The sequence below is a fragment of the Homo sapiens genome, chromosome 14 (assembly GCF_000001405.40).
Source record: "Homo sapiens chromosome 14, GRCh38.p14 Primary Assembly".
Lineage (NCBI taxonomy): Eukaryota > Metazoa > Chordata > Mammalia > Primates > Hominidae > Homo > Homo sapiens.
This window is the reverse complement of record NC_000014.9, coordinates 79,069,946-79,093,294: the sequence shown is the minus strand read 5'-3', so window position 1 is coordinate 79,093,294 and position 23,349 is coordinate 79,069,946. Positions and strand designations below refer to the sequence as shown.

Genomic DNA, 23,349 nt, shown 5'->3' with positions numbered 1-23,349 from the left:
CCCCACACCTGGCTAGATTCTAAGCATCCTTCCATATTCCAATTAGATGTCTTCTTGTCCAGGAAGCTTTCCCTCACCCTGTCAAGTCTGACACAGAAGCTTCTACATTTGGCTGGTCAATGTACTAATCATACTTTCTTGAAGTTGCCTCTTTCCTTGATCTGTAGTATCCTTTGACAATGAATGGACTGTATGTTATTGTTTCACATTTTTAATGTTCACTGTCTGCCCTATGAATAATGGTATAAATATTTGTTGAGTGTGAATAAATGAATGTGTGAATGAGTGAGTGAATCCAGATGACATACTCTGGTTCTCTGGACACACTCATAACCCGCAACTCTAGGATCTGCAAAGCCCAGCAGTACTCAGGGTTAGACTCCTCAGAAGGTAACAGGGTGGGGACCCAGTTGGGCAGAGACTTTGGGGAAGATCTTTGATCTTTTTACTATAAAACTGGGATGAAAGGAGACCCAAGGGTCTCTCACCATGCAAGTCCTTCATGAACAATGGAGCAAGGTGGGAGTTTCTCACACTCCTTCCTGGGGCTCATTTAGCCATAAAACCAAGCTATCATGTTGTGGTAGAAACTGGCTAGCTGATTTCAGTCACTTATTCACTACAATCTAGAAGCATGTATTGAGAAAGAAGCTTCAGCAAAACTTCAAATTGTATTTGACTTTGAATTTAAATGGAACTTACATATTTCTACAAGTACAGACAGGGAGAGATATCCAGGACATATGTTGACTGTATACACCATTTATTAAAACTAAAACTTTTAGGGCAAGGGTGTGTGTGTGTGTGCATGCACGTTCCTGTTTGTAAAGTCAGAGCAAATGGTTTTTGACATCTGCACATTGAAATGTTAACAGTGGTTCCCACTTGAGAGGCGACTAAGGTTGCAGATAGTCAGAAAGGACTTCTATGTTTTTCTTGATATTCTTCATTACATTTTGAAACCTTTTTCAATAGCATGTATTAATCATGTGATTACAAAAGAAGAGGCAGGGAGAGAAAAAATAGAGAGGTCTCTGATCTTCTCTTTAGTTCTGCTGAAAAGAATAGTCCTGTATCCTAATAGTCAACTGTGATCCCGTTTCAAACGTGTTCCCTGCATATTAGAACTGGTGGCCATAACTGGAACACACATCATAAATCTTTCACAACTTTAATTTCATCTCAAGTTTGATGTAGAACTGTCTATTATAAACAACCTTAAGATAGAGAAAATAGAAAACAATAGACGAACAGAAAAATATGCAGCTAATTTATCATCCTTTAGATTTCCTTTTTAATAATAACTTTATTTTTTTCTAGATCAGTAGAAATCACATTCAGTTCTACGTGTTGGTTTAGTTGCAAGTGAACAAAGAACCTCAACAAAAATATAAACATAACAAAAGTGGACACTTTAGAAAAGATTAACATGGATTTTTTTTTTGTCCCCAGAGCACTGGAACAAACAGTTCTCCCTAATCATTCACTTTTGTTCCTACTTGGTAAATGGTGCCACCTTACTTCAGAATGTGTGATTGCAAAAGTATGGGCAGAAGCCCTGTCTTGGGGTCTCCTGGGGTACTAACTAGGTCTTTATGATCATATATCTCCTGGCTATAATTATCCTGACACCGTCACCCACTGACTTAAACAATCACCTTTACAATAATACCCTCAGCATGCAGAAAGCCCCTGATTATGTAAGCTCCAAGCAGGAACACCTGGGACAAAGCGCCCCATGGGGAACCTCTCAGATAAGCTACTTGATTTCTTAATCCTTCTGTCCTTCGGTCAAATCAGCTGGAAAGCAGGAATAGGGAAAGGGGTGGGAAAAACCTCCTGAGGAATCAGAGGCTGAGTCTGAGCCAGATGCAACTTCTATTTTGGTAATAAAATACTACTTGTATTAACTCCTCTTGATTTTTACATACAGGTAAAAAGAATATGGTATGGAGCTTCTTATTACCTGTTAGATCAATGCAAATTTCTTATCTTGACATTCCAGACCTTATATAGAATACTCTTAGCTTTCTTCAGCCTTTTCCATGGTCAAAGTTTTTCAAATAACTATGTACCAGGCAATAAGCTAAGTGCTTTTATAACATCTAGTGCACCTGACAAAAAAAAATGAAATTGATCAAGACAGAATGTTTTAGGGGTAAAGGAGGGAGAATGCATATTCCATTCTGTCTGCTTTGGACCACTTTTTTTTTTTTTTTACTGAGACAAAAGGATTATATGGTACTGTTTTCTCACAGAAAAGGAATTTGGGCACGAGTTCTCGTAATACAGACACCTCCTTGTGAGTTCCCTTTTGCTCTTGGCCACATGGTTTGTGTGCTCTGGGACATCTGCTGTTTTCTGTAGCTCCTTTATCTCCAAATTTGGGGCTTTATGTTTCCATTAAAAATTCTAGGCTGTAAATGCTGGGAAATTTTCAGTCAACATCCATGACAGGACTTATTTCCTTCAAATACCATGTATGTTTAGGCAGTGCTATGGACTTAATTATGTGATCTGCATATTTGGTATCACTGAGCCCCTACTATGCATTATGTAGTGTGGGGAATAAAGTCTGCTTTCTAAAGAGGCTGGAGAGTTGGACTTTCTTCTGCTGACAGTTGGTGGATGGCTGGGAATGAAGATTTTGAATAGTGCATAGGATGGGGTAGGGGTGGGGCCAGATATGAAGCCATGGTGACAGAAGCACTGGGGAAGGAGAATAAAGCAACTAAGAGAGGTTTGTAGGGCAAGGTGAAAAACAGATGCATGATCACTTGATGGGTAAAATTAGAGAAGTGAAAAGCAAAGGAACAAGATGAGAAAAGAAAGAACAAACCCAGGGTGTAACTGGAAGATTGATTTCATGGCAAAAGGGAACTTATCTTATATGCATATAACTTGCTATGTATGATAGCCAGGATAATATCTTCTTCTCTAAAAGGGAAAGGAAGAATTTCCAAAGGCCTAAGGAATTTTCATCTAATGCTATACACATCTAGAAATGCATACTCAGAGACTTTAATAATCCCTATGTTATATTAACTGGGAAGCAATGAGAAGTCTAAAAGCAGCTTTTCTGCATAAGGGGATGAGTATTATCATAGCTAATCTAGAACCAGGAAAGACAAGCCCTTAGCCAACATTTCTTATTATTAAAAAGAGAAGGTGTTTCCAAAGTTACAGTACAGTCAGTCCTCTATAAAATTGATATATAAATACCTATCCATGTTAGCAAAGGAAAGCTGATTCTATTTTTATAGCAATCCAAAATGTGTTAGTTTAGAGGCCTCAAGGAAGTACTTGAATATGAGTTTTATGATTATTTAAAAAACACAATCCTAATGCAAAATTCCTACTTTATTTATGCTTCAGATTGAGAGATGAAAAGTCATCATTTTAATTCAGGTCAAATAAGCATTCCTGAAAGAAGCCAAGAGGTGAGCTGGAGTTTAAGATATTTCTCCATGGAATTTTCTGTGTTTCTTTCAAGTCCACTGAATGATGCCAAAAATGTGCAGAAGAAGAAAGATCTTGGCTTCTCTCTGCACGAGTTTGAGGGTGTGAATGAAAAGTTCTGCAGTCATCGTCTCCATGGGAAAAAAAAAATCTGATTTTAGTAACATCTTGCCATATACAAGAGTTATTTTTTGAAAAAGTTTCTAAGCTTGTCAAAATATTCCTAGGTGCGAGTTTAGTGTTTCTTGAAAAACTGAAGAGGCAGAAGGTAAAAAAGCAAACGTTCATGACTATGTTTGGCCTTTCTCATTCGTGTATGAAATAACTGTTGAACAAGGAAGAAAGATAAAATTCCTATCTGAAAAGATAGTGCCCACATGTCTCTGACTGTTCCATTCTCAACTATGTTTTTATTCCTCCTCTTCCTCCTCTTTGATTACTTGATTTCTTCTCATCCATGGAAGCTCAAAGCAAACAACCTTCTTACCAAAGCACCTTCCTTGTTTGCTATCAACTAGCATTCTCGGGAGCTCAAAGCAGTTTTTTCCTTACGTTTCACTTATTTGGTATGTAAATTATAAATATATTGTTAGGCAATCAAATCATATTTTCTCTATAAGTTTACTAAGACTTTGAAGCAAGGGGTACATGTCTCTTACCTGCATGGCTTTGTGAACAGCAGCAGCTCTATTGACTTATCCCCTCTGAGACAAAACAGGTGGGACATAGGGAGGATTATAAAACACAAGAAGCTCAAGAAGGAGTTGAATTCCTCTGCCGCTTCCTGCTACCAACACTCTATCCCCACAAAATCTGAGAGTGATCTGTTAGCCATGAAACCATGTCTTTGGGGGTTGGTGTCATAATTATCATTAAAGGGCTTAGCTGTAGGAAATGGCCTTGCTTTCTAAATTTCACTGAAATAGCCTACATGTCCAGAACAATTAAGAATTATATAGGTTAGAAAAAAGTGTCTTTTAAAATTAAATAGTTGTGCTGTGATTCAAACTGCCTTGTTTCCAAATATCCATCCTTTTAACCAGGAAGGCACATTTTCAACATGACATAAAAAAAGGGCTGATATAACAAAGAAATTAAAGAATATCAAAGCCAACACAGTAAAAAGTAAGTGTTTATATGTTTACATTTAAATGACTAGTTTACCCTCTTTTTTATACAAACTTTGAATATATTCTAACCTAATCCTTCCCTTCCGCAGGTACTACATCTGAGGAACTGTTAAGAGACTTCTTAAGCCCAAGTCATAGGGAAAATCCAAGAAATTTGTTTTTCTTAAGGAGGATAATTATAATAAAATATTCAAACATATTATACACATATACATAGATATATAAGAACTCTGGGGAAAGGGAGAGGCCTTTAAAAGTGTTCAAACCTTTGCTGTCATCCTTTTCTGTCTGGGCTAAGTTTAGAATGATGTTGCTAACTAGAGGAGGTCAAAGTTGGGCACAGTCATTTACCACCTTTAGCAGGAGGTAGTAAAGGGCTCCCATTTCACCTGGGGCTTCAAATCACTTTATTTTAAGCTGATCTTCAAGGAGAAGGGTAAGATGGTGAGCAGAATGAGAGAGGTTCAAACAATTTTTCTTATTGAGTGGAAGCTGAAGCACTTCAAAGCTCAGATAGTTCAAGTGATTTATCTGAAACATTGCAACAGATTTGGCAGAAGTAGGCAAAGGATCTGGTGATTCTTTTCTCCCTGGCCTATCATGCGCCATTGCCCTCCATGTAGCAAAGGAGAACCTAGCATTGTTCTTGAAGGGGTTCATCCTTTTACTTCAAGTACCATTGTGAGCTTTGAGCAATTTCCAATCATTCTGACGTTGCTCCAACTCATCCAAATACTGGTGTTGCTTTAACCAGAAACAACTAGTTGTTATTTCCCAAACAAGCAGGCGATTAATTCTCACATTCTCTCCAAGTGCAACTGAAAGCATCTTCTTATTCTCTCTCCAGAGGACTCTTCCAGGTAAGTTCTCAAACATAAAAGATTTTTTAGCTAAGATGGCAGCGGTTGCCTGATATTTCTTGCTCAAAGAGTTGTGCGTATGCTTCTTTAAAAGAATGCGGTAAAGATGTGAGGGAAAGGGGAGCATTGGTTTTGATTGGGTTAAATGGAACTGTAATGAGTTAGACCTCCTGAGAAAATGGAGAGTTATATATTTTCTGCTTTACTCTTCTACTTGAGTGTTCCCCCTTTTCTGTACCAGGAAATATGCCCTCTTCAAGACTCTAATAAGGTATCACCACTACCAAGAAGTTTTCCCTATTCATACCTGGCACTGTTGGTTCTGTGTTTCCATAGAGCAGAGCTCTGTTCATTTAAGTCATAAGGCTTGCCAGTTGTTATAAATATGTACTTTCCCCTTTAGAATATTATTTTATCAGGCAAGGTGACAGCTCTTCCTTGTCTGTTGTGCCGACTTCCTATTGACTCCACCGGGGATGGCAGCATGTTCAAGAGGCTGAAGGAGAGACCCAGAGCCAGCAAATGAGACCTGGGGTTTTACTGGGGCCTTGCATACAGGGGAGAGAGTCCAGAGGTAGCAGGCTAGACAGGAGAACCACTTGCAAAAGGCAGGCAGTTTACATCACATTTTCACTTAGTACCCTCCTCCTAACCACGTCCGCTTGGAAACCTTCATTTAATCCAAAACAAAGGGCCTCAACTCCTTGTATGGCCCATGTTCCAAGGGACAGGCCAGGGGATCAGATGTTCCTCGTAGACAAGGAATTGATCTTCAGGTTGGCCACTTCTGGGTTCCTTAGCTCAGAACTCCCACCAACATTCAGGTGTGTCTGCTGTAAAGTTATTGTTGCTCTCTTAAGTTATTGTTATCAGGTGTGTTTACCATAATCACCTGAGCTCTTACAGACAATTGACATAATTAAGAACTGCTTCTTTTACCAATTCCCATTCAAATGTTTTAAAAGCTTTTTACTTTCATAGAACTGTAAAAGTAACCTTTGCCTGTCATCTCCATGAAGAACATCTAACATCTTGTAGTTACAGATCAAGTATAAGACTTTTCATACGGAAGTCCAAACTTGTTTCATTTTAATTTTATAATTAAATATTAGTTTTATTAGGAAAGCGAATAAAAAGAAGCATTGAGTAGAAACTATCCCCACAGGTCCTTGAAAGTTAAGGAAAAGCCTTCGACGTATCCTTTCATTAAATACTGACCTCATAACTCAAGAATCTGTGATGACTCTGCAATGTCCCTCAGATCAAGTGCAAAGTGGTCAACTGAGTAATAATCTCTATGTTACCTATGCTAATTTAAAACACCACAATTTAAAATGAGAGAAAGGATTCAAGATTGGATATTACTCTATGCTATCCCCTCAGCTTTCCCCCAGCATATAGTTTCTAGAGCATACAGTAGGAAGATTAAAACCTACTCTCAAGAAATTACAAGGGAAGCTTAAGATCCCAAGTTAAAGCGAGGGATGGCCTAGTAGAGAGGCAAATGGTCTAAAAATAGAAAGATTTGGGTTTCCTTCCTACCTCTGCCTCTAACCAGATACACGGCCTTGAGAAAATGACTTTGCCTCAGGAGTCCCCAGCTCCCTATCCTGTGCAATATAGGAGATGGGCTAAATGACCTGTAGAATTTCATCCAAGAATTTATTCCCTGTGGCAGGATGACATCCTATCTCATGTCATCCTACCGGAAGCTCTCTGCCCCCAATACCAAGCCACCAAGTGTTTATAGTATTAGAATCATGAGACTGGTCTTTAAAAAGTAGAGAGAAATGGATGAATCTAGAAGCGCTGCAGCTTTTGCACCTGTTCCTTAGGGATCTTAATTATGCATCAATCAACTCCAGCTCAAATGAGAGATGAGAACATGAACTTTTTTGCTGATCTCAAAGGATAAGCTTCAGAGGCAAGGTCATCAGAATCATTCCAGCTGAACAGGTAGTTTTATCCGCCCATAGGGAAACCATTCAAATTTTAATCACTTCTTTTTCCTCATCATACTCAGAGGCTTCTAGAAAACTCCAATATGAATCTTTTCTGGAAAAGTGTGTTACTCACTTATTTCAATAGTCTTGCATTCAGACTTTTTCCCTCTCTCTCCTCGTTTCTTCTCGCCATCTAATTCTACGTATCATTCCCTATTTTTTGTGCTTCCTTTCCCTTGGGTAGGTCTGATGTGGTCTAAAAAAAATCATTCCATAAGCCCAAGTCATTAAACTACTAAGTTAATGCTAGAAATGAAAATTATTGATTTATATCTAGGAGGTAAGTTTGATTTTTCCTTTTTGAAGAAGACCATTTTCCCATTAACAGTAAAAATATGTTACTTCAATTTCTTCTCCAGTAATACACATTGAAGCGTTAAAAATAAAATGGGCACGTTCAAAAACTTCTTTATTATGACATCACCAGAAAATTATAATATAATTCAAATAGCTTTAATAGTGATTTTAATCAAAGTAATCTATGAAATAAATGAACTGTTATCTTGACTGACATTGATAGTGCTAAGGGATACTGCTTAACTTTTCAATGCTGAAGACAACAAATTAAACAACTATTTAACAGTAGGTAACCATAAATGACAATTAGCCATATAAATGTATTTAATTTACATACTTTAAAACTTCGAACAAAAACCAACATGACTCCTTATTTTTACTGTATAACCCAGTGACTTCAACAAATACAATTCAAATAAGTGCTTAGGATTCCATCCCAGAAAACGAACAGCTGCAGATAAAAGAGGAAACCAGGTTTCCCAAGTTTAACCAGGAACCCTCTAGACTCAAGCAGGTGCCAGGCATAATCCCAAAAGCAGGAGGCAAATAAAACGTCTCGTCAGCTCTTAAGCCTTAATGCATTTTACCTTAAACATTTACATTAACAGATGGTCCCCAACAGTCTATAAACTTACTTCTAAGTTCATTTCTATGTCACTATCAACCCCATTTACCACTATCCATGCAGTAGAAAATGCCACAAGGGGTTTAAACCAGAACAGTAAGCAGAAGGGACCAACTCACTGAAGCAACTGGTGTCACCTACGAACATGTGCTTGACCTTTGTTTTTAAAAAAATCAATACGATTGATGACTGGAGAAATAACAAAAATAAGAACCAACCAAAGTCACCATATTTGACCTATTAGAAGGTACAATAGGGGCATTTACCTATCACCCTGAATGCCAAAATGCCTTCTATTTTCTGATTTTCCAAACAGCAGAGGGGCATAGGAAATGAAGAAGCCATAGATGATTACAGATGCCAGGAAAGAATAATTTTAAGAAATAAATGTAAAGATGACAATTTTGTCTCATGTGGGGAGTGACAGTACTTTTTTATTATTTATTAGGCTTTAATGATAGTCAGTTGGCAATATTTTTAAATAATATCCCTTTTGTTAGACATAGTCCAACATATTATTGGCTTAGAGTTGACTACTGGAATTTTTGAAATTTTATTTTTGTAAATTATCATGCAGTGAAATTGAAGGGTTCCTTTTCCTTCTGGTGTATAGTTCTATGAATTTTAACACATGTATAGATTTATGTAACCATCACCACAATTAGGATATAGAACATTTCCATCACTCCTCAAAACTTTCCCTTGCTGGCCAAGTGCAGTGACTCACATCTATAATCCCAACATTTTAGGAGGCTGAGGCATGAGGAACACTTAAGGCCAGGAGTTTGAGACCAGCCTGGGCAATATAGAGGCCCCCATCTCTACAAAAAAAAAAATAAATAAATTAACCAGGCATGGTGGTACAGGCCTGTAGTCTCAGCTACTCAGGAGGCTGAGGTGGGAGGATCGCTTGAGCTTAGGGGTGGGGGTCGAGGCTGCAGTAGGCTGTGATCCTGCCACTGCACTCCAGCCTGGATGACAGAGCAAGATCCTGTCTCAAAAACAAACAAATAAACAAAAAACTTTCCCATGCTATCCTTTTAGCAGTCACTATCGTTCATATCACAACAAAACTTAGCTCAGATAGTTGTAATTCTCCCTTCCAAAGGAGATTTAATAAAAACTGTTTTATGTAAAACCCCTGATGACTTTTCCTACACTTCTCTACAGTTTCACTTATTTTTGCCTTCAAGATTCTAGAAATTTTCCAGTCACAAAATACTCTACTGGGATCTTGAAGAAACATCTATCAACAGCAAAAGTCACATTATCCTATTTTTTACATAGGAAAACATGACAACGATAACAGCGAAACCATTTTTTACATTGTAGTCTCTATTCCCTGGGTCCCCCACTTGCACACATGCCAGCAATGGTGGAAAAAGGAAGGAAAAGATGAATCCAGTTGACGGTTTCAAGTACATAATGTAAACAGCCTAACAGAATGCTTGGAACATTACAAACGCTCAATATAAGTTTCCTTCCTTCTTGCTTCATTTCTAGGGCTCTATTTTCAATCCAGTGTTTTCATCTGACCTTTGTTTTTGAGAATGTACAAGACCCATTGCTTCTGGCAGGGATCCTTTCCCTCGTGTGGTTCCCATCCAGATTTACAGATCAGAATTTCAAACTAATAGCTTTAGTGAAATCAAATAAGTCTTCTTCACTCTGCCAATACTCCTGACAGAGTGACTGGCAATGGAATGGTTATTTTTACAGTAATGCTATATGCTGCAGGAAAAAGACTTCTGTGCCTCAGGAACAACAAGCTTAGACTTAGTACAACATCTCACACAGTACCACTGATGGAAAATAAATGGGAATTTGTCATCTTTTGTTTGGAGATGCTGCTGTGAAGCATGTCACCATCCATTTAAAAATGAAGGAGGCAGAAAAAATGTTGTATCAATGTCTCTTCCGCCATCCCGTGTTGTGAATGCAAATGGCAATGGTGTAGTGTAGCAATCCTGTCCCCCTAGTGAAAAATCCCATTTATCTGGTACTCTGAATATACAAGAGAGATGATGTCAATGTGTATCTGGTCTTTATTTGAATATTAAGAAATTAATTTAATTATCTGAGTTTGAATTCCTGAATGAATTTGCCAGAAGTAAATCTGAATTTTTTAAAGTTTTTTATGACATGTATGCAACTTGTTTTGCTTGGATGTCCCTACATTAGAAAGATTTCCAGTATTCATGCCTGATGTAACGTGCATGATAAGGTGGAAAAAGAACTCATTTGGAAGACAGAAGCTCTAGGTATTGTTCCACTGATCATTCTGTGTTCAAGCCATTTAACATCTCTTGGCCTTAGTTTCTCATGTGTGGCAGGGACTCAGACTGGAGATAATCTGTAACATCTCTTTTAGTTCTAAATTTCCATGATGCTCACCATGACTCTGATTATTGCAAACTCACAACGTTTTGGTGCTATGATTCTGAGAACTCCTTCTTTTGAGAGCCCCTGTGCCATCCTCACCAAAAATGGTGCTGTGTCTACACACACACACACACACACACACACACAATTAGTTTGCATACACAGGAGTTTGGCAAATGCAAAAATGTTTTCACTCCTTTTAAAAATAGAAGAATGAAGCCAGTGCCTTTCCTTTATATATTACTTCCATCTGATGAGGTGTGTATATAAAAGGTTTAGGGGTGCTCTGTCAAATAAATTTATAAAACACCTAAATTTTACGTACATGAAGATGTTAGTAGAAAACAGCTTCTTGAAACATGTGATATATAGATGTATATATGTATAGGTAGTTTTGTATATGTTTTAAGTGGATATATAAATATATTTATGTATGTATATATAAGTATGTGTATATATGTATATATATATGTATGAAACATATATATGTATACACATATGTATGAAACATATATGTTTATATATTTATGCCTTCCCCTCTCTTGAACATTAAATTCAAATCCAGAGAATTCTTTGGATCTATTATTTGGGAGACAGGGAGACTGTTTTGTCCTCATGTCTTTTCAAACTATTTGTTCTATCTATATGGCATTGGTATTGACAATCCAGGGAGGCATACCGCAGTGCCTAACAGTAACCATAAAGATCTTGCTTTTTAACAAACATGGAATATTTTAGATCATTTTTGGTTTACTATGAGGAAAATGGGTGTCTTCTTTCTAATTTTTTGTCTGCCATAGAACATTGCTCATACCTCTATAAGAGCATTTTTGTACCGTATAGTAATTTATCTTTTTGACATCTGTCTCCTTCATTAGACAAAGAGCTTGGACACATCATATCATTTTTTTTTTTTTTTTTTTGAGATAAAGTCTCACTCTGTCGCCCAGGCTGGAGTGCAGTGGCGATCTTGGCTCACTGCAACCTCTGCCTCTGGGCAGGGTTTAAGTGATTCCTCTGCCTCAGCCTCCTGAGTAGCTGATACTACAGGTGCATGCCACCACACCTGGCTGCTTTTTTGTATTTTAGTAGAGATACGGTTTCTCCATGTTGGTCAGGATGGTCTCGGTCTCCTGACCTCATGATCTGCCCGCCTCGGCCTCCCAAAGAGTTGGGATTACAGGCGTGAGCCACCGCACCTGGCTGGACACATCATATCTTTTCTCACTCTGTTTTCATTAACTAGTGCAGTGCCAGGCACAGATTAGGAAAGTATTCTGGAATAAATGTTAACCACTTGGGATTTCAAGTCATTCATTTGGTTTTAGTATGTGCACCTACACTTGCTAACTATAGTTTCACTGGATCTCAATTGTATTATCTACAAAATAAGGATGATAAAGGAACTAACTTCATTGATGGTTCTGAAAAGTTAGTGAGATAATAGACGCAAAATACTTAGCACAATGCTAGGCTTGTATCTACTAAATGCTAAAAAACGTGCTGGTTATGCTTTTGCTTAGGGGATGGAGAAGGGAAGCAGAGATTCAAAAACCAAAACAAAACAAAAAAAAGTTAATGGGGGAGGGATAAGAAGATAAACCACCGGATTATATAATGTATATTTCCTTCTGGCCAAAAGACAACTGACTGTGTTTGGACCACTAAATCTTCATCAATCAGGAAATTCCAGTTATAGTTGGGGTAACTGCCAAAAGAAAAAGAGGCAAAACAAAGACCATGGCAAGCGCACGGAGAAGTAGGACAAGCATTTGGCAAAACTCTGTTTTGGAGGCTTGAATAAAATAATTGTCACAGGCTTCCTTCTTTTCATTCATCAAGCTCTTGTAGGATATAGGAATTGAGGAAATTACCACTATGATATGGTAAATGAAAGCAAAGGAAGCTGGTGAGGTATCTGAAACATATAACGACAAAGGAGAAAGAAGCTACATGAACTTTCTAGAGATCTAACAATGATAAGAAGTGGAAAAGGAGGTGAGAAAGTGGTATATATCCCCTATATACACTCTGGGGGAAAAGTGTGTGTGGGAACTGCCATTATTTTGGGGATCTCCCACAAATTTTAACTCCTTCTCAAAGAGTCTCCATCTATGGTAAAACAATCTATTCTACTTGGTAACTCTAGTTCAAACAAAATAGTTTATTTAGATCTCTTTGATCTTTTAACACCATTTTCCAAATCCTTCCATGTCTGCTTCTGCCCAGTGTTTATTATTAGGCAAGAGATCAAATTGAATTTGCTTTGAAATTGAGTGAGTCAAGGACACTTTAGACGCTTAACCTCAGTAGAACCCAGGGGCCTTAAAGTGGCCAGTTTCAGATTTCCTCACAAAGAAATCCACAGTCCTCTCTAGCTACTTGCTTCTGGCTGCCCCCAGCTGTCTCCCAGGAAGTCTCACATGGGAATGATTAGGAAGAGGTTCCACTGTTCCTTCAGGTGGTTTAATCAGACTGAATGGCATAATACTCTTAATACACTAACAGCTCCTTGTTAAGTAAATGGTGATCTAGTTTGACTTTTTCTTTTGAGATGGAGTCTCACTCTGTCTCCCAGGCTGGAGTGCAATGGCATGATCTCAGCTCACCACAACCTCTGCCTCCCAGGTTCAAGCATTTCTCCTGCCTCAGCCTCCTGAGTAGCTGGGATTACAGGTGTGCACCACCACGCCCGGCTAATTTTTGTATTTTTAGTAGAGACAGGGTTTCTCCATGTTAGTCAGACTGGTCTCGAACTCCTGACCTTGTGATCCACCCGCCTCGGCCTCCCAAAATGCTGGGATTACAAGTGTGAGAAACTGCACCCTGCCCGACTTTTTCTTTTTGATCTCTTTACCTGCCTATTGGCACGTCTTCCAAAGAGTAAAAGAGGCAGAAACATTAATACCAATCTATTATTCTTTTTTGGAATATCTCTGGACAAAACTTTATAGTAGGTAAGTTTGAAAAAAAATAGCTATAATGGGGCTTAAAACATACATTTGAAGATTTAAGTTCTCCATATCACCATTTATCTCACTACAAGGTTTTATCAAGTATTAACCTAATATAGTAAGGTAATGATTTACTACACCATAGAATATACACTTTTGGTTTGTCTAAATGTCTTTTTCTTCATGGAGAAACCATTATTTCAGTGATATATTTATATTTTCCTTCCAGTTGTTATTTTAAAATGAGAAAAGGACATGCTTAAAGTATTTTACTATGACAGTTTTCTAATCAGTCTGCAGTTTCACAAAGGAATTTATTTGCACAAATTCCAAGATTCTAGTCCCCCTTATCAGTTATCTTTGCTTTAGTAACGTTTGCCTGGTAATTCACCTAAAGTATCTTTCTATAGGCAATGGCATCCTCAACAAGAAAGGGAATGTGAAACTGAATACAGGTACCAGGAATCAGAAGAGTGCCAGGAAGAGAATGATCTTTGTTCTGCAGTAGCAGAGTTGCCTCCTGAGGAGCTGGAGAAAGCAGGCTTGCTTGTGTCACTAAAAGAAGCAATGTTGACTCAAGGAGAAATACACAATGCCATGAATTATAAGGACTGGTGACAGAAAATGAGTTAGGTTCTCTCTTTCATCTTCTTCTGGTATCCCTACACAAGAATCATGGGCTAATAGCATGTTAGGGCTGGAAGGGGCTTATAGAACATCTAGTATAACTTCCTCTCTTTATTGGTGTTGCAAGTGAGGCCCAAAGAGAGGAATTTACCTAACGTGCAGCAGTGCTGCAGAAAATTCAAATTCTTTACTTCTAACTATTCCCAGAATTGGTCATTCATCTCTTCAAAATATATGTGTTGGTGTAAATAAAATTATACCCAAGGGGGTTTTTAATCTCACACAACTATATATCACATGGCAGGGACAAACATTAACAATCAGAGCCAAGTTGTTACTATAGTCAATAAATTGAATAACTTATTTTACCACCTCTTATTCTTCTACCTTTTTAAAAAGTGTATATATCAAAACAAGCTTCATCTTACTTAGTGTCCTCATGCATGGATAGAGTTAAAATGGTTTAGGCATCATTTTGCATTAGAGTTCTGGAATGTATGCAGAGCAAGGTTGGATGGATTTTTACCATGTAAGTCAGCCACTAGGCAGTATTTGTAGTGGAAATGGGCCTCTAACACTCATTTCCAATAGGACAGTAGAAAACATGGTATCTACCACCACAGATCTGCTGTCAAAAGTTTAACCTCCTATGGGTTAACATGCGAGTGATTTATTTTATCTTGTGAGCTACTTTGACACCAAAGTATCTTGAATGGTCATAAGTTTGACAAAAAGACCTTTATGGCTGGTTGAAATTAATGACCTCTAAAGTTTGATTTTACCCTGAGATCCTGTGATTCTAAGAGCAGCAGTAGAAATCCTAGGCATCTTTCAAGTGTCATTCTGAACAACAAAAAAAATAACATCAGAAGGGAAAATCTTTTAGACTCATTATCTTGCCATTTCAACCAATATAAATACCAGCTTTATTTTTTGAAAGCTTTATTGGAATTTCTACATAAGGCTACATACATTTCTAAATAGCTCCCTCAAACTAGAAACTTGTCTATAAAACAACTGAAATCAAATGGAAAGCCCCTTTTCTCAGCCTTATATAAGTAAACCTTACTTATATATACCTGATCAATAGGGCTATACTCTCCCTGACAGATGTTTTCATTTTTTCTGCCTGAATATAATGTAAATGGAGCAAATTCTACCCTAAGGTGCAATATTATACCACAGACTGATATAATAATAATTTATGGCCTATATATTATAGTTATATAAAATGTCTCATACCACATCACCAATTATAAGGGGCTGATCTGCAATACAACTGATAGGTTTAGTCCTATAGGACATTTCATTCCAGTTATAGTTTAATTTTCAACCTTACTCATTTGTGATCTCTCTTTATAATTGCCAAAAAGTTCAGGGATCATATGAAGCACTGTTTTTCAAATGGCCCATGTGGAAGCAGAAGCCTAGTACATATCTTTGATAAAAGAATTAACAAGGATAGTAATTTATTATATTCTGTAGGGAGAGAAATTAATAATTTAACTACAGAAGAATTCAGATGAATAGGAAAAGAAGAGGAAAAAAAGGAAAACTAGAAAAAAATTGCTTTCCAGGTTCACAGAAGGCAAACATCGTGTGGACACTTCCCCAGTGCCTCGGGCTATGTGGTTAAGACTAAACACACCGTGTGCTCTATCTTCTATTTGTTGAACCTCCAGGTGGAACCAGATTAGCAGAAAGAACGTTTCCTCGGTCATGAGGGAATTTAATTCTTATCACCTGCTGTGGAAGATTGGCAACAGCATTCCTGACCTAAAGAATAAACTTCTAATTGTTCTTAAGAAGGTAATTCCACCAAGGTAATTCTAGGTCTGCTTCAGCTATTCCTTATTTTTGAGTGATTTTATTTCAGACTTAAATCCATTCCCTTGACGATAACTGGAGAAATGAAGCATAGGAAGAAAATTGTCCAGAAAGGATAACACCAAACATTAATCTCTTTTGGAACAGAGAGACTCTTTGTTTTTAGTAAACTAGACACAGTTTCATGGGCATGTAGGTACTTGAGTGCCCACAATGCACCAGGCAATGTGCTGGGGGTGGCAAGAAATAAATGCAATGCTTCTCTACTCTGTGGCAAGCCCTGTGATAGAACTTTTTACACGCCATCTCAGCAGACCCTGCATTTGTCTAATGTCTATTTCATGCTTTTTACACCTGTGTAAGGCAGTCTATAAGGTGGCTCCCAACTGTCTCAGCCTCCTGGTATTCATACCCTTGATTATTCCCTCCCCTTAAATGTCCTATACTTATTGACTCACTTCTAAGTGATGAATAGAATACAGTAGAGGTGACAGGATGTCACTTTCAAGATTAGATTGAAAACAACAATGGCTTCCACCTTCTCCCCAACCCTCAATCAAAGACAGCTATTAAGTTGTAAGCTGTCCTGTAGAAAGGCTCTTGTGCCAATGAAGTATTATCTGTGGCCAACAGTCCACAATGACTAAGGCCTGCCACCAGCCATAGGTAAGGGCTTGGAAGCAGATCTCTCCCAAGTTGAGGTGACTGAAGCCCTGGCTGTCACCTCGGTTGCAGCCTTATGGAGGGACTCTAAGCCAGAGGCACCCAGCTAAGCCACATCTGGATTCCTGACCTGCAAAAATTAGGAGGTAATGCCTTGTTGATTTTTGAGCTGCTACGTTTTGGAGTTATTTGTTATGCAGCAATAGAGAACTAATATAACACCATTTCCTCCTCTCTAGTCACCATTATTTAGAAACAACTCCATGAATGAACAATGAGAATCAAGAGCTGGGAATCAATAGTTGAGGTGACAGATTAGGCAACAGCATGATGGCCAGCACGTGTCTCACCCAGAAGCTGTCCTCTTCCTTCTTATAAGACAAGGCTCTAACTCATGAGGATGGTTTTTACCACAAAGTTGCACGAGGTGCTTGAATTTACCACAAAGTTGCAGGAGGTGCTTGACTAGTACAGGAGCACAGCTAAAAAAGGCTCTGCAGACCAAGTCTTCCATATTGATCACATCTTAGCTAACACTGCTATGGCTTAATTGGGCAAACGGCCAATGGCATCTGATCTGCCATTTTCCATTTCTCTCAAAAACTAGTTAAGGTATGGGAAGGACATCTACCTCATTTTCCTCTCCTGCCTCCCCGCCTGCCACACACATTGAGGGCCAAGAATGGCTCTTTGTAAAGCTACTTGAAATAAATGCTACAGGCCTCGTCCTGCTTGGAAGTAAATCTGGATGGAATGTAATCAAACAGCATGCATTTGGCATCAACTTATGTTTGAGCATTGCAGGTATAAAAATGAAAAATATGTTTTGGCAGAGAGTTGGACAGAAAGGAAGACTTAATTAAATATCTGAAATATACACCACTGGAACCAATTAATAATCATCAAGGGATCAGAAAAGGAAGGACAGTAATAAAAAGAGTTTATAAAGTCGAAATTTCAGGTGAGAGGGAAAAAATCCTATCCACATTCTTCTGAATCTCTGAATTGGTAAGCAACACTTTATTTTTCATTTTCCTAACTAATATTTATGCATTGTCAATGTCCTACTGCCTTCAATAAGTTTACAATCTAACTGGGAGACCAAAATCTCTAAAATGCAATAATGTGTGCATCAAAACTCAAGTTCTTATCAGGGACTGATTACTTTGGAGTCCTCAGCTCCATCTCCTAACCCATGTATACACTTTCATAGTTCCTCTTCAGAAAGGAACTATTTTTATTCTGTAAAAATCTAGTGGTCAAATGAAATGGGTATGCTTTATAGGTAAGGATCCTGAAGCAAAAATCAAATGCATAAAGATTACACGGCAAATGAAGTAAGAGATTTTTAAGCTCTGACACCATTTGATTTTTAGTTTTTTCTATCACAAAATAGTGCTAATAGCTTATAAAATTAAAATAAGTAAAAGTAGCTTTGTTAAAGCAGAAAGAAACTTACACTTCCCTACAACAATTTGCAAACTTAAGTCAAATGATCAATGATCAAATAGCAGAGGCTGGAGTGTGCCCAAGGGGGACTTGATCTTATTCTGGGTGTTTTAGCCCAAGCAGAAATCAATGCAGGGTTTTCTGCCACCTGCTTATTTTGTTTCCAGTCAAGCAAAACAAGGGGCTTATCTCCCTCACAGATCAGCATATGAGATATGCTTCAGATATGTTTGCCTGTCAGACTCATAAACACAACAAGATATGCCAGCTGCAATGAAGAGAAGCCCTGTTTCAGTTCGTGGATTACAGACTGCAACATCCATCAGCATCAAGACAAACACCTTCAAACTACTGTCCTTGGCGTCCAGCCTAACAGATCTGAGGAATGTGATAAAGGAACACTGGATTCCCAAGGTCTGCTCAGGTTTCCTTCCATAACAAGAAGTAGCCAAATACAGCTGAACAGGCCTGGTAAGTAAAGGAGAAGCCTCCTTCCTTGAAACACTTTGCTGTATTCTCAAGAACAAACACAGACCCCTAGTATCTAGGTCTTAGTACTCATGATGACTACCGACCTCTGGACCAGTTATATCTGTCAAGCCTTAACTATTTTACTAGCATATTTCCCCTAGAACTGATTTAGTAATTTGAGAAATAAAAATGTTATAATACCTTTCATATAGAGAAATAATTTTTTCAACTCATTGGAAGTACATTATCATTTTGATCATTAAAATTACCCTTTGAAATACATTGGGCAAATATTTTTATTTTAAAGATGAGAAGGAAGCTCCAAAGACACTAAAATTTGATGTGCAAGACTGCAGAGCTAGTTTGTAGAAATGTGGAATGGACCCATATGTTTTTTGTACCACTCCAATTTAAGAATACATTTAGTCATGTATAAGTCATGACTAATAATATTCATTGTGTACCTACGATGTGGAAGGTAATGTGTTAGATAATGTGAACAATGCAGGTAAACTACTAAGCTTCATTTTATTTAACAAAAATGTATATTGTGCCTACCATATGGCAGGTACTTTTCTACGTGTGTTACAGAGATTTAATCCTTATAAAATACCCTCCTATGTAGTGGTTACTAGGCACAGAGAGGTTAAATAACGTGTCCAAGGTCACTCAGCCAGTAAGTAGCAGAGCTGCAATTTGAGCACAGGCAGTCTGGCTTGAGAAAATGTTTTCTTGATACTTTACTATGTATGCTACTTTACAAAAGACTGATAGTTGATAGCTCCAAGACAGTGAAGGAATATCAACAGCCATGTGCAGATAGAAAAAAATGGATAGAAATAAAGCCCTTCAATATATTTCTGACTTAGATTTTTAAAGAAGGGCTGGGAACAGTTGCAAAGGGAAGGGAATAAAAAGAAAAGGCTGTTGTTAACACACTGTATTGCAAAGAGCTTTCCAATTTCTTTAAGGACCTAAGCCACCAAACACTGGTCCTAGTAACTTCTATCACATAGATTAACTAGGACTCCCATTTCAGCATTGATTTTATTCACATCAAGCAGGAGGAAAATGCTGATTTAATCTGTAATTTTCTTACATGGCACAATGCAATGTGTGTAAGAAAAATAAATGCCAATTTGTCTTTAAGATACTAATCTGGAGCAAGTTCCTACAGGAAATAGGTAAAGGCAATATCTAGATGCCTCAATGCCATGTCTAGATTTTGTGCATTCTAAACTCTATCTGTAGAATTTTGACTCTCTGAAATAGTTTCTACATTACCAAGTATCTCCAAAAAAGGGGGGATATCCGTTGGTTGCAGTAGCATGACTTTTAGCTTAGAAAATAACTTAGAGACGGGCCGGGCGCGGTGGCTCATGCCTGTAATCCAAGCACTTTGGGAGGCGGAGGCGAGTGGATCACCTGAGGTCAGAAGTTCAAGACCAGCCTGGTCAAGATGGTGAAACACTGTCTGTACTAAAAATACAAAAATTAGCCAGGCGTGGTGGTGGGCACCTGTAATTCCAGCTACTCAGGAAGCTGAGGCAGGAAAATCACTTGAACCCTGGGAGGGGGAGGTTGCAGTGAGCCGAGATTGCACCACTGCACTCCAGCCTGGGCGACAGGAATGAAACTATCCGTCTCAAAAAAAAAAAAAAGAGAGAGAGAGAGAGAAAACACATACCACATGGAAAAACAAGGGAGGGAGGAGAGATGGGGAGACAGAGTACAAAGGATGATCATCTTAGTCATATAGTCATTGAATGGCACCATCACAATGAACTCTTCAATCCAGCAACAATAACAGCAAGCATTTTACAGTTTTTAAAAGTAACTAATCATTTGTATGTGCATGATTTTACTTAGTTCTCATAACAGCTCTATGAAATAGGCCTAAATTATCAGCTAAGTCACACTGGTTGATACATTCAAGGTTACAGGTGATTTTGCATTAAAAGAGGGACTTTTTTCTCTGTTTTAAAACCACAAAAATTGTATTATCTCCGTTATGCTATACCATAGTATTACTTTTTTATTCCAGCTGAAACCACTGATTTCTTTCGTTTAAGTTCAGAGGTTCGTAACCTGCTCAATGGTTTAAACAACAACAACAAGCAGTATCGGAAGTCAGCATCATCTACTCAGCAGCCCAAATCTGGAAGGTTTTGGAAAAAATCAGGACACCACTGTTAACCACCTTAACAAGACTGCAAACACAGGCTGTCTATTCCTCATCAACAGAATCTTTGATACTGGCAATTTGTTTAGATTGGCTTGCAGAAGCATATATTGGTAGCTATGTTATGAATATTTACCGGTTTCATACACATTCATAAAAATCAGAAACATTTTCCTCCTAGGTATCTGCATTGGTCTTGAATGGCTGTTTAAAAATAATCAGAAACCCCCACTCATTCAAGAATGACTCTTACCTACAACCCAAATAAGCCATACAGACAAGGGTAGATCTCAGATGAATGATAATCAAGGGCCCTGTTAAAATCTTCTGAAATCAAAAATAAATAGTAATTACTTTATTATCTATCTGCCTATCTATTCAACCATTCACATTCTTTAAAATTTTTGTAGGTACATAGTAGGTGTACATATTTATGGGGCATAAGTTATATTTTGATATGGGCATAAATGTGTAATAATCACATCAGGGTAAATGGGGTAGCCATCACCTCAAGCATTTATCCTATTACAAGCAATCCAATTATGCTTTTTTAGTTATTTTGACATGTGCAATGAAGATATTATTGATTATAGTCACCCTGATAGGCTATCAAATCCTAAATCTTATTTATTCTTTCTAACTATTTTTTGGTACCAATGAACCGTCCCCACTTTTCCCTCCAAGTTCCTTAACCTTCCCAGCCTCTGGTAACCATCCTTCTACTCTCTCTCTCTCCATGAGTTCAATTGTTTAAATTTTTAGCTCCCACAAATAAATGAGATCCATTCATTCATCCATCCACCCATCTATCCAAAGTTGTTTTCACTGACTGCAAATCCATTGGTTGGGTCAATTGCTTATGAAGATACATGACAAAAGGGTGATATTTATTTATGTATTTAAAAAATGTGTTTCTCAATGAGAACACATGGACACAGGGAGGGGAACCTCACACGCTGGGGCCTGTTGGGTAGTGGGGGGCTAGCAGAGGGATAGCATTAGGAGAAATACCTAATGTAGATGACAGGTTCATGAGTGCAGCAAACCACCATGGCACATGTATACCTATGTAACAAACCTGCATGTTCTGCACATGTATCACAGAACTTAAAGTATAATAGAAAATGGCAAAAACCACATTAAAAAAAATGTGTTTCTTCCGCTAAATTAGAACAATCAAGCTCTGTGTTATTCATCACTGAATAGCACAACCGAGAGGCTACCAGAAACATACTTAGGGGTATTTGATAGGATTTTCAAGAAGTCCACTGTCCAAAGATTCTTAATTCCTTTTCAGGAAGAACCAAGAATCCTTAGAGCTAATAAATCTACTTCAAATGTTTAATGGGTAAAAAGAGTTTGACACTAACTACTCCAGGGCAAGAGAAATTGCTATGCATAGCCTTAATACACTACGGCTACATCGTTAAACTGCGACCCAAACTACATGTTTGCTCCATCCCAGAATCACCCCCAACATGTCTATTTATCTCAAGAGGGATTCTGAAAGCAAATCTTTGTAAATAATCTGGACGTATTTTTTTCCAGGACAGATTCTAAATTTTCCTACCATAAATGTATGTGTGGTAGTAGTTATAATAATTCTTATTAGGAATATTTATTTAAAACTGATTTTTGTTTGAATTTTGGTTAACTTATTTCCCCTATCGGAAGAAAAAAATGGAAGTGGGAGGGATATTCAAATATAGAATAATAGTAAGGAAAATGGTAAATCTTTGAACTCTATCTTGATTACATGCAAATATCTCTAAAAGGGATAGCAATAGTCAAACACACACAGGGAGAGAAATGTGGAGTTATTGAGTTATTAAGGGAGCACTGCATGTGGCTGGAATATTGGACAACATTTTCCAAAAAGCATTGAAGACTCTTTAATTACTCAAGGCTATCAAATATCATGGAGCTGTGATTTGTTTCTTGTCACACACACAGCTGACAAAGAGTGGCCACAATGAAAAGCTGTGACTTGATGACCTGTTATTGGGAGTGCTTTTACATTTTTAATTTCTTTCTTACTCTTCCTTCCTTTGGGGGAATGGAGAGAAACTCTCACCCCTTCCTTTTACCATACAGTCAGAAGATTAATGTTTCATAATAGAATCACATAGAGTTGTGTTTGTTTTACTGTCAAGGGCATTACGGAAACTGACAGTCAAACTACCAATTTAAAAGGATGCGTGGTGCTATCCCGAACAAACATAGGAGGCTTGTGTACAATGCAAAGGCCAATTAGAGGGTCATAACATCCTTCCTAATTTGATGTGACATTGGTTTCCCAAATGAATGAAACCTGACACATACAAAACTCAAAGTCTATAACAAAGAAAACAGGTAGAGATGGAAGGAAAGGTAAAAAGGAAAAATGTTGACTGTCATATCCTGCTTATTATAAGCAGCTC

General features: G+C 37.8%; 1 protein-coding gene and 2 long non-coding RNA genes across 55 annotated transcripts in view, besides 1 other annotated feature; 2 read left to right on the top strand and 1 right to left on the bottom strand.

Moving 5' to 3' along the window:
- Window positions 1-23,349, bottom strand: part of NRXN3 (neurexin 3) — a 1,697,919-nt gene that overhangs the window by 774,997 nt on the left and 899,573 nt on the right. The gene's annotated exons all lie outside the window — the stretch shown is intronic.
- Window positions 1,315-2,014: an enhancer, noted in NCBI's record as "OCT4-NANOG hESC enhancer chr14:79557624-79558323 (GRCh37/hg19 assembly coordinates)". NCBI's record gives its function as "activates a minimal SCP1, AML or CMV promoter by ChIP-STARR-seq in naive H9 embryonic stem cells {active_cell/tissue: H9 hESC(naive)}" and the evidence as "EXISTENCE:reporter gene assay evidence [ECO:0000049][PMID:30033119]".
- On the top strand, window positions 1,801-16,096 carry LOC105370588 (uncharacterized). 2 transcript variants are annotated; one of them, XR_007064284.1, is made up of 4 exons: window positions 1,801-1,886; window positions 3,376-3,440; window positions 4,503-4,584; window positions 16,020-16,096. It is a non-coding gene; the product is annotated as an uncharacterized LOC105370588 (long non-coding RNA). The 2 variants fall into 2 exon arrangements; XR_944064.3 differs by lacking the exon at window positions 16,020-16,096 and adding an exon at window positions 14,121-14,202.
- NRXN3-AS1 (NRXN3 antisense RNA 1) lies at window positions 17,770-21,128 on the top strand. The gene is made up of 3 exons (XR_007064282.1): window positions 17,770-17,835; window positions 18,477-18,747; window positions 20,792-21,128. It is a non-coding gene; the product is annotated as an NRXN3 antisense RNA 1 (long non-coding RNA).